The following is a 15,237-nucleotide window of genomic DNA, read 5'->3' as shown; positions in this document are numbered from 1 at the left end:
AGACCAACAGGTCTGTGGGAGCCACCAGCACCTCCAGTGTCCCTGTAGCTTTGTGGCCATAGCTCTCAAAGCCTGTCTGCTCCCCTGCCCCACAGGCCATCCGGGCCTTGGCCTCATAAAGAGGAGTCCTACCCCACCTGCCTTTCCTACCACATCCTGGCCAGAGAATGATGCTCTTTCCTCCTCCAGCACAAACCTGTGGGTGCTGCAGGGCCACAGGTCTTCTCCATGCAAAGAATGCATCAGCCCCACATCTCAATGCTGAAAACAGTGGTGGTGCATGGCTGCAGAAATGCCCATGATTTGTTCATGCCTCTGGGTGTCAACAGCCATGGACTGCCCCTTCCCACACTGTGACTGTGCATCTCACATGCCACTTGCTTTGACCAGTGGATCAGGAGCAAAAGACACAAGTAGAGACTTGAAGTGTGGCTGCCAATGGGACTTGCCCTCCTAAGAAACTCAGGACCCTGTGACCTCCGTGCATGCACGGAGGCTAGGTAGCCTAGCCCACTGAGGAGGAAAGACACGTGGCCTGGTCATCACCATCACCCAGATGACAGCCAGCCATCCTCCAGGACATGTGGGTGAGGCCACCATGGCCCAGACAGCTCCCAGCCCACCTCCATCTGCTAATCCACCATGAACCATGAGTTCATGCTTTATGAACATGCGTGACATCAGCTGAGGCCAGCCCAGATTCAAAGAACTGCCTTGCAGAGTCATGAGCTAAAAAAATGTTTATTGTCTTCAGTCACAGTGTTTTGGGGTGGGAGGATCATTATGCAGCAACAGATAACTGGTACACCAGCCCCAACGAGGACAGGGGGGAATGTATGGCAGACCTGGACCCCAAACCAAGTGGAAGCAGCCCTTCCCATTGCTTCTGCCATCAGCAGATGCCCCCAGAGAGAAAAAGTACTTACTGTCACATTTCATCCCCTGGTGGATGAGTCCATACAGCAGTGACCCACAGTGGTCACAAAACGTGGGGCTGGAGTACGTGTGGATCTTAAACTTGTGTTTGCTGCGGGGGTCCTGGAGCCAAGAGAAACAACAGAAGGAGCCAGCGTCAGTGGAGCATGCCAACGGTTCATCCTACATCGAGAGGCACTGGAGAACTCACCAAGAACTGAACTTGGTCCCCAGAGGTCATTGTACCTGTTGGGACCATCGCTGGAGCCCTGTGCCCAGAAACGGTGCTGGATAAATAGTTGTGGAAGGAATGAAGGACAAAGACAGATGATTGTTCCCTTTGCAGCCCCATGCTCACTCACCCTGCCTGCAAACCCTCCATCTGGGCCTGCCTGGGAACTCAACCTACAGGCTCCTGCCTGTAGTAGGGACTCCAGAGATGGGAAAACAAAGTAACAGACACATCATCTAAACAGGGCTCCTGACTTTTCTTTCTCCCCACCTTTATTCTCCAAGCATGCTTCTGCAGTGATCAAAAACCCAAGTCTGGATGTGAAATCTCCCTGCTTAGAAACCATTGCCAGTTCCTCATCACTGACAGAATAAAGTTCAAAGCCCAGTGGACAGTCTGCAAGTTGTGGCAGAGACTGCTGGTTTTCCACCAATATCCATTCTTCCCTTTAATAGTAGAATCCTTGAGTTTTAGCAGAGAGCATGGCTATCCAGATAGAGGCCATATTTCCCAGCACCTCTTGCAGGTGCCGCCATGGTGCTGAGTTCTGGCCAATGGGATGTGTGTGCTCCAGGGCCATTCCCTTCAAATGGAAATGCATACTTCCTTGAGCCTTTCCCTCTCCCCACTGGTTCAAAGATGGTGAGAACTGGAAGTGACTGTCCTGGACCCAAACTTGGAGCCATATGTGGAAAGGACAAAGCCACCCTACCAGCCTTGAATTTTGTCCCTTTGGGCTGACCCCTGAGAGAAAAACCTAATTTCTGCCTTGTTTAAGTCACTATATTTTGGGAGCTATTTCTCACAGAACCTTACATAATTTCCTAATCAATAAATATGCCCTTGATAGCCTGGCAGTGCAGTGCAGTGGTAAAAGGCAGACTTGGATAAACTTCCGGGGCTCTAAGCTGTGTGAGTTTGTGCAAGTTGTTTGATGGTTTTTTGTTTTCTTTTGTTTTTTAAGAGACATGGTTTTGCTCTGTCACCCAGGCTGGAGTGCAGTGGCACAATTATAGCTCACTGGGACCTTGACTTCCTGGGCTCAAGTGATTCTCCTGCCTCAGCTTCTTGAGTAGCTGGGACTACAGGTGCATGCAACTATGCTGAGCTGATCTTTTTTTTTTTTTTGAGATAGAGTTTTGCTCTTATCACCCAGGCTGGAGTGCAGTGGCACAATCTTGGCTCACTGCAACCTCTGTCTCCTGGGTTCAAGTGATTCTTCTGTCTCAGCCTCCCGAGTAGCTGGGACTACAGGCATGAGCCACTGTGCCCAACCTGCCCAGCTAATTTTTAATTTTTTTTTTTTTTTTGTAGAGAGGGGGGTCTCACTATGTTGCCCAGGCTAGTCTCAAATTCCTGGCCTCAAATGATCCTCCCACCTCAGCCTCCAAAATTGCTGGAATGCCAGGTGCACACCACCATGCCCAGCTAATTTGATCTTTTTGTGCTTCAGTTTCCCTATCTGTAAAATGCTGATAATGCTAGTGCTCTCCTTATAAGACTGTTGGGAAGCATAAATGAATGAACCTGTGTAGAGGTCTTAGAACCACCTGGCACATAGCAAGCAGCATAAGCTTTCCATGATTGCTATTACTATTTGGCCAAGGTGATCCCCAGCTAAGCCCCCTCCTCCCACCCACCCACATGCACACATACTATGTACATTCTCAGCACTCAGAGCGCACCCCCGCTCCCAAACAGACCATGCCCTTTGTAAGCCTTTGGCTCTGCATTTCTCTTTCTTCTTCAAGAGATTCTTTCCTCACAGAATTGGTTTTAGTTCAAGAGAACTCTTTCTGTAAAAGTTGCTTTCTCTGTTATACATTGCAGACCAGGTACAGTGTCTCACGCCTATAACCCCAGCACTTTGAGAGGCCAAGGTGGGAGGATCACTTGAGGCCAGGAGATCAAGACCAGCCTGGGCAACATAGTGAGACCCCATGTCTACAACAATAAAAAATTAGCCAGGTGTGGTGGCATATGCCTGTAGTCCCAGCTACTTGGGAAGTTGAAGTGGGAAGATCACTTGAGCCCAAGAATTCAAGGCTATGTGTGAGCTATGATTGCATCACTGCACTCCAGCCTGGGCAAGAGAGCAAGACCCTCTCTCTCTTAAAAAAAGGAAAAAAAAGTACATGGCAGAAGTTAATAACATGGGCCTTAGGTTCCAATCCAGGGCTGATCTGACACCCTAGCCTTTGGTACATGCTACCAGTTTCTTCCTTCCTTCATTCATCCATTCACATGTATTTATTGATGCTGCCACAGATGCCTCCTTTAAAATTGTACTCTAGTGACAGAAAATGAACATGTAAGCAAATAAACAGACATACTACATAGATATTCTTTTATGTGCTGTTAATGTGATGAGTGCTTCTCCTAAGGAAACTGTTCTTTTCAAAACTTTAAAATAATTCCATACTGTATTAGTCTGCTTTCATACTGCTATAAAGAACTGCCTGAGATTGGGTAATTTACAAAGGAAAGAGATTTAATTGACTAACAGTCAATTTTCTTGAGGACGAGGAGGCCTCAAGAAACTTAAAATCGTAGTGGAAGGCGAAGGGAAAGCAAGGCACCTTCTTCACAAAGCAGCAGGAAGGAGAAGTGCCGAGCAAAGGGGGACATGCCCCTTATAAAACCATCAGATCGTGTGAGAACTCACTCGCTATCATGAGAACAGCATGGGGGAAACTGCCCCAAGATTCAATTGCCTCCACCTGGTCTCTCCCTTGACATGTGTGGATTATGAGGATTACAATTCAAGATGAGATTTAGGTGGGGACACAAAGCCTAACCATATCACATACCTACCAGAGTTGCTAAAATGTTTGAAAACTAAAACCAACGATACCAAGTGTTAGTGAAGAAAGAACATAAACTGGAACTCTCCTAGGACCCAGGAATCCTACTTTTCGGTGAAATGAAAACATCCAGGCCGGGCACAGTGGCTCACGCCTGTAATTCCAGCACTTTGGGAGGCCGAGGCGGGCAGATCGCTTGAGGTCAGGAGTTCGAGACCAGCCTGGCCAACATGGAGGAACCCTGTCTCTATTAAAAATACAAAAATTAGCAGGGTGTGGTGGCACATGCCTGTAGTCCCAGCTACTTGGGAGGGTGAGGCACGAGAATCACTTGAACCCAGGAGGCGGAGGTTGCAGTGAGCCGAGATCGTGCTACTGCACTCCAGCCTGGGTGACAGAGAAGGGGAAAAAAAAAAAACAACAACCATATCCATACATGAAGGTTTATAGCTACCTTACTTATAATAGCCCCAAACTGGAAAGGACCCAAATGTCGTTCGACGTGTGAATGGATACAGTGTGAGGCATCCACACAGTGGAATACTTTTCAGCAGTAAAAAGGAATGAACTATTGACACATGCAGCAGCATTCATGAACCTCGAAAGGATTCTGGTAAAACAAAGATGTTCAACACAAGTGTAGGTTCATTTCTAAATGTTCTGAAAAACACAAAACTATGGGGACAGAAAACATCAGTGGTTAAAAGGGGTTGGAGGTGGATAGGGAATTAACTAAAAAGAGGCAGATGCAGCAACTTTTTTGTTTTGGATATTGGAGTGGTCTATATATTAACTGTGATGAATTTTACTTTATATTTTTAAAAGTGAATTTGTGGCCTGGAGCAGTGGCTCATGCCTGTAATCCCAGCACTTCGGGAAGCCGAGGTGGGTGGATCACCTTAGGTCAGGAGTTCAAGACCAGCCTGACCGATATGGTGAAACCCTGTCTCTATTTAAAATACAAAAATTAGCTGGGCATAGTGGCATGCACCTGTAGTCCCAGCTACTTGGGAGGCTGAGACAGAAGAATTGCTTGAACCCAAGAGGCAGAGGTTGCAGTGAGCTGAAATCATGCCACTGCACTCCAGCCTGGGCGACAGAGCAAGACTCCATCTCAAAAAAAAGAAAAAAGAAAAAAAGTGAATTTTGCTGGGCACAGTAGCTCATGCCTTCAATCCCAACACTTTAGGAGGCCAAGGCGGGAGGACTGCTTGAGCTTGAACCCAGGAGTTTGAGATCAGCCTAGGCAACACAGTGAGACCCTGTCTCTACTATATATATGTATTAAAGCCAGACATAGTGGTGCATGCCTGTAGTTCTAGCTACTAGGGAGGCCAAGGTGGGAGGATCACTTGAACCCAAGAGTTCAAGGCTGCAGTGAGCTATGATCACGCCACTGGACTCCAGCATGGGTGGGAGAGCAAGACCCTGTCTCAAAAAAAATTGTTTAAAGTGACTTTTACCACAGGAAACGTATGTCTCAATAAACCTGACTGAAAATCCTCAGCCACTGCAGACTTCGGTTGCTTCTTATCTTGTTAATGAGCTACAAAGTTTCTTTCACAACGTTCCCACCCTCTGCAGTCAGGCAGATGAAGTACTCGTCCAGAGCACTGGACAGCCAAGTTTGAGAAGCGAGGTCTTTTCTGCTGTCGCCAGTGGGACCCTGAGTGCTCTCAGCTACAAAAGGACCCCAGCAATCATCTGTCCTGCTCAAAGATTGAGGTGCCGTCCTAGTAACAACAACAGGGCTTGGAAATCCACCCCCCAAAAAACTAAGGGATCCCTTTTGGCAGCTTAACCAGCCATGTCTCTATCTCCGGACAATGAGACTAAGTGAATACATAAGGTTCCTATCAGAGTCCCCCTGCTCTGTGCCACAGAACAGTTCCCATTGTGCTTCTTGGACATTCACCTTAAAGTTGGGAGTTCAGTGCTTCAAACCCACCTAAAAAGGAACACCTGTTCGAAAATCAAACACCGCATGTTCTCACTCATAAGTGGGAGTTGAACGATGAGAACACATCGACACAGGGAGGGGAACATAATACACCTGGACCTGTCGGGGGGTGGGGGACTAGGGGAGGCATTAGGAGAAATACCTAATGTAGATGACAAGTTGATGGGTCCAGCAAACCACCATGGCAGGTGTATACCTATGAAACAAAACTGCACATTCTGCACGTGTACCCCAGAACTTAAAGTATAATAATAATAAAAAAGGAACCCCTGTTCATGACTGGTATTGGCCTGTAGGAGAAGCTCCAGGTTCTCTTACACCCCTACTTAACCTCTAAGGAGGCAGAGTTGATTTAATTGGATGGATTCCAAGACACGGATTGGCCAGACCCCAGTGGTGGAGCTCGCATGGAGGTTAAAAGGCATCCTTGCCATCTTTCTCTTCTCCTTCTCCCTTACATCCTTCACTTCTCCCAGGACGCTACTGGGTCCAAGTCTTATAGTATTGCCCTGAGACCCTTGGTAGAAGTGGCCTGAGCCAGCTCCTCTCCAAGACCTAGGACACATTCTGTCTCTACTCTTGGCTCTTGTGGTCCCTTCTGGTTTCTCTGATATATTGATCTTACAGAGGCCAAGAGTTAGGTTTGAGTTCAGGTTTGAATTTCCTTAGTCCTGCCTAGTAGAGAAGAAAGGAGTTCCTCAAGGCCTTGTGAGCTCTACTTTAAGATCTGGGGCAAAATCACAACTAATAATAAGTTGCCTCTGTTGGTTTTGCACTTTTCTTCATGTAAATATTTTCTTGAGCGATCTCCAAGACAAGGATTCAAGCATTTCTGACCAAAAATGATCCAGACCTTTCTCCATATCAACAGTCTCTTAAACAAGAGGAGATACCAAGAAGCACAAAGAATGGGAAGGGAAAAGGAAACACATTTCTGTGTTTGTGTGTGTTTTGTTTTTTGTCTTGTTGAGACAGGGTCTTGCTCTGTCATGCAGGCTGGAGTGCAGTGGTGCGATCATAGCTCACCGCAGCCTCTGCCTCCCAGGTTCAAGCGACCCTTCCACCTCAGCCTCCTGAGCAGCTGGGACTGAAGGCACATGCCATATGCCTGGCTAATTTTTATTTTTTGTAGAGACAGGGTTTTTGCTATGTTGCCCAGGCTGGTCTCAAACTCCTGGGCTCAAGTGATCTGCCTGCCTCAGCCTTGCAAAGTACTAGGATTACAGGTGTGAACCACCACACCCAGTCTCAACACACTGCTTGAGAGCTACATGTGTACGCTGGGTGTCTCACATGTACTCTCTCCAATCCTTATGACATGCCATGCAGAAGGTATCATTTGTTCCCATTTTAGCAACAATGAAACAGATCCTAACTACAGAGTAACTTCACCAAGGCCACCCAGCTGGACCCTTGCAGAGATGGGGTTCACACCAAGTTCCCCTCCCTTCTCTCCTCACTCCCAACTTTACTCCATTGACACCTCATCTTCATGTGCGGCTAAGATAGAACTTGACTCATTCGTTCATTCACCTAGCAAATGTATACTGAGGGTCAAGTTCTTCCTAGGCATTGGGGATACAGCTGTGAACAAAAGAGCTTCTGCTTTCATGGAACTTATATTCTAAATCCTCTCCATCACGGCACTTAAACCACTGACTTATAAATGCACGCTTAATTGCATCTCTTCCACACTTCACTGCATGCAATGTGAGGAAATTTTGCTCATCATTATACTCTCAGGGCATAAACTGTACTTGGCATACAGAAGATGCTCAATAAATACTTAATAAGTGAGAGTTAACATTTATGGAACATTTATTCATGCCAGGGACTATTTTAAGGGATTCATCAGGCATTAATGCATTCGATCCTCATAACAGCCCTATAAAGTACATACTACTTACTACCCCTGTTTTACAGATGAGGAAACCGAAGAACTAAGAGACGAAGTGTTTTGCCCGTGGCAAGCACAGCATTGCACACAGTGGTCAATGGGTTGTTGTGACAGCTGTAGGGCTGCAATCATCGCTGTTGGCCACTGCAAACCCCTGCACCATAAACATGCTATTTTAGGAAAATGACTTAGAAGGGGCTGTGCAGCACAGATTAGAGCCAGATGAGAGACAGGAAAACCAATCGGCAAGTTGCAGGGAAACATTGACTTCTTACGGCTTATTTAGAGGCTGCTGGAGAGCTCCTCTGACCTCATTCCCCTCCCTCCGCTTTCATGAGGGATCATACTTGTAGGCACCAACTCTACCCACCCACTGCCCCAATCCTTCAGACCAGACAAACCAGGTCATCCTCAGTGGATTCTTCCCTCCTCCTTCCTGCTACCTGAAAGAGCTTAAAGCCACACTCCTACACCTGTGGTCCTCATGACTCCCTCCACGACCCTCAAGGTGCATCTTTCAGGGTACCTTTCCATGCCTGCCTGAGCCCAATGCCATCTCTGAGATGGGCACCTCCCAAAAGCCATGCTTGTACTTTGAGACATCCACATTCCCTGAACACAGCTGACTGGGGCAGAGGTGGACACTTGGCTCAAGGGTCACATATGCTGAGTGGCTGGGACACAGGTAATCAGTCCTGAGGCCAGCAGACATACAGTTCCAGGGCTGAGGCTGCTAATTTTATATTTGATTGACAAATTATAATTGTATGCATTTATGGGGTACAATGTGATTGTTCTGATTGTTCTGAATATACACACACAATGTGGCATGATTAAATCAAGAAAATTAACATATCCATCACCTAACTTGCCTATCATTTTCTTAGCTTGAGATATTTGAAATTTACTCTCTTAATTACTTTGAAACATACATATTATTGACTAATGTCACCCTGCTGTGCAATAGATCTCAAAGGCAATTCCTCCTATCCGAAACATTGTACTCTTTGCTCAGCAACTCTCCATTTCTTCCCTACTCCTGCCTCCTGCTGTCCCCCAGCTTCTGGTAACCATCATTCTACTCTCTACTTCTGTGAGTTCAACTTCATTAGATTCCACATCTAAGTGAGATCATGCAGTATTTGTCTTTCTGTGCCTGGCTTATTTCACTTAGCATAATGTCCTCCAGGTTCATCCACATTGTAGCAAATGACAGTTGGTGCTGATTTTTATGGTGCGCTCTGAGGAACCTGGAGAAACAAAGACAAAGACTACATGACCCCAGGGATGAAGCTCCTGGTTCTGGTCCCTGGGGTTCTGGCATCCTGCCTTCCAATTCCATCTGCCTCCCTGTGTCCTCTAAAATTTGTCCTTTGTGCTTCAGCCAATCCAGGTAGGCATGTTACCTACAACCAGGGGTGAGTCAAGATATCTATAATTGCCTTGGCTCAGGGACTGCCCACAGACCAAACGGAATGGACAGCAGAGCCTGGCTGTGCTGGGAGTTAGCACTCTAGTCACCACGTCATGGAGGGGGTGTGGTAGGAGCTGGCAGAGGCAGATATGGGTAAGTGGAAGGTTGGGGGAAAAGGCCCAGAGGACCCAGTGGCTATTTACCCATCGGTTTCAGAGTATTTCAATATTTCCACCACTGGTACAGTAGTGCCAGGGCATGCAGGTTAAATATCAGTCCTGCCTGGCCGGGTGCGGTGGCTCACGTCTGTAATCCCAGCACTTTGGGAGGCCGAGGCTGGCGGATCACGAGGTCAGGAGATCAAGACCATCCTGGCTAACACGGTGAAACCCCGTCTCTACTAAAAATACAAAAAATTAGCCGGGCGTGGTGGCGGGCGCCTGTAGTCCCAGCTATTCAGGAGGCTGAGGCAGGAGAATGGTGTGAACCTGGGAGGCAGAGCTTGCAGTGAGCCGAGATCCCGCCACTGCACTCCAGCCTGGGTGACAGAGCGAGACTCCGTCTCAAAATAAATAAATAAGTATCAGTCCTGCCTTTAACCAAAATACATTCCCTTCCTAGCCTTGATGCTGTGGGTATTGACCAAGCCTGAGATGAGTCTGGGAATCCTCATGGCCTGTAAGCCATCACTCCCTCTATGGGGTTTGGTTCTGATCGCATTCAAAGATGCAGCTTCCTGGCTGGGAGCAGTGGCTCATGCCTGTAATCCCAGCCAAGGTGGGAAGATCGCTTGAGCCCAGGAATTCAAGGCTGCAGTGAGCCATGATGGCACCACTGCACTCCAGTGACAGAGAGAAACTCTGACTCAAAAACAAAAAAAAAGACACAGCTTCCATCTCTGCCTCAATCCCTCCCCTAGTCTCATTTTACATCAGATCCTCGTCACCCAGGCCACACTGACTAGACACCTCCAGGCCACCTAGAGCCTGTCCCATCCCTGGCCTGGGCCCTCCTTCATGCCCAGGGGCCACAGTGTGGAACCCAGAAGCTATATCAAGCCTGTAAAGAAGCTACCGTTGGCCAACAAGGTGCTTCTTAGAAATCCAAATAAGTTTACTATATTTAAGTCAGGAACTATCAGATTAAAATGTGAAATTTTGGCCAGGCACAGTGGCTCACGCCTGTAATCCCAGCACTTTGGGAGTCCGAGGCAGGCGGATCACGAGGTCAGGAGATCGAGACCATCCTGGCTAACACGGTGAAACCCTGTCTCTACTAAAAATACAAAAAGAATTAGCCGGGCGTGGCGGCATGCACCTCTAGTCCCAGCTACTCAGGAGGCTGAGGCAGGATAATGGCATGAACCCGGGAGGCGGAGCTTGCAGTGAGCTGAGATCGCACCACTGCACTCCAGCCTGGGCAACAGAGCGAGACTCTGTCTCAAACAAAAAAAAGAAAGAAAGAAAGAATAAAAAATGTGAAATATTGCTTCCTTTTGAGAAATCATCAGCTGTGACAACACAGAACACTCATTTCTGTGGGCTGAGCAGTGGTTTTCCCCTTTAGATAAGTAATAAACTTTCTAGTTTTCCACAGTCCCCACTCTTCCCTATTGTCTTACACCAGGCCTGCTTCTCTCTTTCCCCTTTCCTGCCTGGACCCTGTAGGAATTTGGATTTGGGACCTCTGCCAGACTCCCTACCTTCTTCCCAACAGTGCTGGAATCCAACCCCATGTGAACACATCCCCTAAACTCCCGAGTGAGTTTGTCTGACTCAGTCTCAAGTGCTCTCAAAAACAGGTTTGAAACTATTACACTCCTGCCGCAGCATCACCCCTTGATCATCCCCAGTCATCTCGCCCACCCCTGGAAATCAGGTTTCCACAGGATCCTGGCACGATTCCTCTTCCCAGTATTTCCTGTTGCTGAGGCTCCATCTCCACATGCCTGGTATTAGGCAAGCTTGGATTCCCAAATTTCCTTCCATTTCCAATCTTTATTCAAGAGATTGTTGAATACAACAACAAAATAACCGTCGAATGTGACTTTTACTGCCACCAATTTTATTGAATTGAACACATACTACCTGCCAAGCACTGTGCTGAGTCCTCTATGTCATGTCCCCAGATTCTCCTGACAGCCCAGTGATGGAGGAGTTAGACTGTTATCCTGGTATTCCAGATGAGAAAACTGAGGCTCAGAGAAGTAACTTGCCCAAGGTCACAAAGCAAGGACATGGGAGAGCCAGGACTGGAAGCCAAGTTTGTCAGACTCCAGAAATGCAGCCAGCCGAGTGGGAACCCCTCAGTGTCCCCTGGCTGCCCCCCTGCTCCTCAGCCTCCCCAGAGAGTCTCCCACCTAACACGGGGGTTATAGACAATAACACTCTTCATCTCACACAAATTCAGCACCGGCCAGTGACAGAGTACTTGGGTCCCTGCCACCCCCAAACCAGAGTCTTTATAGTGAAAAACAATCCCCAGCATCAAAGACAGGCAGATCCTAGGTCATCACTTAATCCCAGACACAGGCAGCTAAGAGGAAAGGAAGCACAGGTGAGAGAGATGGAGGAGGGGGGAGGGAGGGAGGGAAGGAGGAAGGAAGGAAGGAAGGAAGGAAGGAAGGAAGGAAGGAAGGAAGGAAGGAAGGAAGGAAGGGAGGGAGAGGGAGAAAAGAAAGAAAAAGAAAGGAAGAAAGGAAGAAGGAAGGAAGGAAGGAAAGAAAGAAAGAAAGAAAGAAAGAAAGAAAGAAAGAAAGAAAGAGGAAGGAAGGGAAGGGAGGGAGAGAGGGAGGGAGGAAAAGAAAGAAGGAAGGAAGGAAGGAAAGAAAGAAAGAGAGAGAAGGAAAGAAAGAAAGAAAAAAAGAAAGAAAGAAAGAAGGGAGGGAGGGAGGGAAAGAAAGAAAGAAAGAGAAAGAAAGAAAGAAAGAAAGAAAGAAAGAAAGAAAGAAAGAAAGAAAGAAAGAAAGAAAGAAAAAGAAAAGTCTCTCTCAGTCTGAATGGGCTGTGCAGCTTTGCCCACAGGTGGGCTGAAATCTGGTTGGGCTGAAGTAAAACTGCAGGAATAAGGAAGCTGAAATGAGGCACACAGAGAGAAAACACAAGCTAACAGCATCCATAGAGGAGAAAGGAAAAGCAAATTGCAAGTTCAGACTGTGTCATCCCTGGACATTTACAAGCTATGAAAGCTCCTGAGGCTCTACTTCCCATGGGGTAGGTAGGCAAGGTTAAATTGAAGGTCCCAGTTGGAAATACCCTCAGAACAGAGGGAAATTAACAAGCGCAGGCTCCAGAGTTAGCTGTGTGACCTCAGGGAAGTGACTTAACCACCCTGAGTCTCTGGTTCCTCAGCCATAAAATGGGTCCAATAACCGTATCCACTTTATAAAACCTCAAGCACAGTGTCCTGCACACAGAACATAAAACCTCTTGATTTTATTATTCCCAAGAGAAAAAATCATCATGGCAACATTTCCCCAGCTTCAGTCATGAGCTGTCATAACTTCGCATGCCTGCATTCAACCTGTAACAGTATTAGGTAGGTGCAAAAGTCATTGTGGATTTTACCATTGAAAGTAATGGCAAAAACCGCAATTACTTTTGCACCAACATAATATTTACTTGATATTTTTCTTCAATTCAGTACTGCCATTTTTATTTAAATAAACCTATTTTTAAAAATGAAACTAAGAGTGTGAACTCATGGGATCAATATGCAAACTGCCTTTTCTAATGCACCTTAAAATGAAGTAGACAATTTAAAATTTTAAAATGAAAATTTTAAATGTTCATCCCGACAGTTTCTGTTGAAAAGCTGTGGAGAAACAGAGACACATATTCCTGGTGGGTGGGCCAATTGGTGTCATCCTGTGGGGGCAATTTGGCACTACCTATCCAAAGTACAAATGCTTTTGTAAAATTACAAATTCTTTTCACCTTTCACTCCATCACGTTGGACGAAGGTAAAATAACCTGCATACATAGGAAGTAATATACAGATACAGTTATTCACTGAAGCCCTGTTTAGGGTAGCATAAGATTTAAACACGCTAAGTGTCACTGGGAAAGGGTTGTTTAAATAAATCATAGTGTAGCCACATAATGGAAGACTACTCAGGTATAAAGTACAATGAGGAAGTTCTCTGCATTAATATGGAAAAAAATCTCATTTTTTTTTCTTTTTTTTTTTTAGGCAAGGCCTCACTTTGTCACCCAGGCTGGAGTGCAGCAGTGCAATCTCGGCTCACTGCAGCCTCAACCTCCCAGGTTCAAACAATCCTCCTGCCTCAGCCCCCGAAGTGTCTGGGACTACTGGTGCACGCTACCATGCCTAGCTACTTTTTATATTTTTTGCAGAGACAGGGTTTCGCCATATTAGTCAGGCTGGTCGCCTGAGCTCAAGCTCAAGTGGTCCGCCTGCTTCGGCCTCCCAGAATGCTAGGATTACAGGCGTGAGCCACTGCACCCGACCAAGGTTGTATTTTTTAAGTGAAACAAACAAAAAAATCAAGGTGCTGAGGTGTGTATATTACATGGTACCTTTTGTGTGTGTGAGAAAGCGAGGTGCAATAAGTTAAGTGTGTATCCTTTCTTTTTAAAATTATTTTCAGAGACAAGGTCTCACTATGTTGCCCAGGCTGGAGCACAGTGGCGAGATCATAGTTCACTGGAGCCTCAAACTTCTGGGCTCAAGTGATCCTCCTGCCTGAGCCTCCTGAGTAACCGGGGAAAGTCGACTCTTAATTACACCTCTGGCAGGATACACCAAAAAAAAAAAAAGAAAAAAAAAACCTAATACAAGTGTTCATCTATGGAGGCAAGAGAGAATAAAGTAGACAGAGAGTAAAACTTCTCAGCACAGACTTTTCTATACTTTTGATGTAAAGTAGAATATTTTAGGGTTTATCTGGGTATTACAAAAATCTCACCTCTTGTACTACCACCGTGAGTAACACATCAGTACTGCCATGCCCACAACTGCAAACAAAAGGCCAAAAATTTGCAAAAGACAAAAAAAGTAGGGAAACCTTAATTGAGACTGAGTGGACGGAGATTGTCTGAGCATGAAAAGTGGAGAATGTTAGAAGCTGTAATTACACACGCATGGCACATTTGAAAAGGGGACACTATAATTTGGTGACGATCTTTCATTTTGTTCCTGGAGAGGAGAATGAATAGAGCCAATAACACCATGTAAACACTTGTGTGTTGGGTGACGATTTGCTTCAACCGCCTGATATACCCTGCCCTCTTCTAACCCCGCCCATTTGGCGAATACGTAATTATTCCATTTGAAGGATAAGCTTCTATTGTATAAACTTTGGCAGAATTTAAAATACCATTTCCTGGGTTAAGATCTGCACTGCAGTCCATGTCAATATAGGGGTGAATTAGTAGCCACATCTAAGCTTAACTCTTGGCTCTTCCAGTTATTAACTTTCTGACTCTAGGGAAAGTTATTTAACCCTTTTAAGTTTTCGTTTCCTTGTGTGGAAACTGGAATAATAATAATGCTTAATTCCTAGGTTAGTAAGAGTTCAGTGAGATACTGCATGGAAACTGCATAAAGTTGCTGGTGAAGATGAACATTTAAGAAATGTTCTGCCAGGTCCGGTGGCTCACGCCTGTATTCCCAGCACTTTGGGAGGCCATGGTGGGAGGACTGCTTGAGCCCAGGAGTTTGAGACCAGCCTGGACAACATAGTAATATCTTGTCTCTATCTCTACAAAACATTTAAAAATTAGCCAGTTATGGGCCGGGCGCAGTGGCTCACACCTGTAATCCCAGCACTTTGGGAGGCCGAGGTGGGCGGATCACGAGGTCAGGAGATCGAGACCATCCTGGCCAACATGGTGAAACCCCGTCTCTACTAAAAAATACAAAAAATTAGCTGGGCGTGGTGGCGGGCACCTGTAGTCCCAGCTACTCGGGAGGCTGAGGCAGGAGTATGGCATGAACCCAGGAGGTGGAGCTTGCAGTGAGCTGAGATTGCACCGCTGCACTCCAGCCTGGGCC

At 46.4% G+C, this 15,237-nt stretch overlaps 1 protein-coding gene across 3 annotated transcripts in view, besides 1 other annotated feature; it reads right to left on the bottom strand.

The window, feature by feature from the left end:
- Nucleotides 1–15,237, bottom strand: part of PRKCB (protein kinase C beta) — a 384,629-nt gene that overhangs the window by 187,438 nt on the left and 181,954 nt on the right. For all 3 annotated transcript variants that reach the window (NM_002738.7, NM_212535.3, XM_047434365.1), the window contains one exon: nucleotides 927–1,038. In NM_002738.7, the coding sequence (NP_002729.2) occupies nucleotides 927–1,038 (112 nt within the window). The remainder of the gene's footprint in view (nucleotides 1–926; nucleotides 1,039–15,237) is intronic.
- Nucleotides 10,301–10,460: an enhancer, noted in NCBI's record as "active region_10598". NCBI's record gives its function as "activates an Ori minimal core promoter by ATAC-STARR-seq in GM12878 lymphoblastoid cells {active_cell/tissue: GM12878}" and the evidence as "EXISTENCE:reporter gene assay evidence [ECO:0000049][PMID:35858748]".

Source organism: Homo sapiens, chromosome 16, assembly GCF_000001405.40.
Source record: "Homo sapiens chromosome 16, GRCh38.p14 Primary Assembly".
Taxonomy (NCBI): Eukaryota; Metazoa; Chordata; class Mammalia; order Primates; family Hominidae; genus Homo; species Homo sapiens.
The sequence above is the reverse complement of the archived record's forward strand: the minus strand, read 5'-3'. Positions and strand labels throughout refer to the sequence as shown.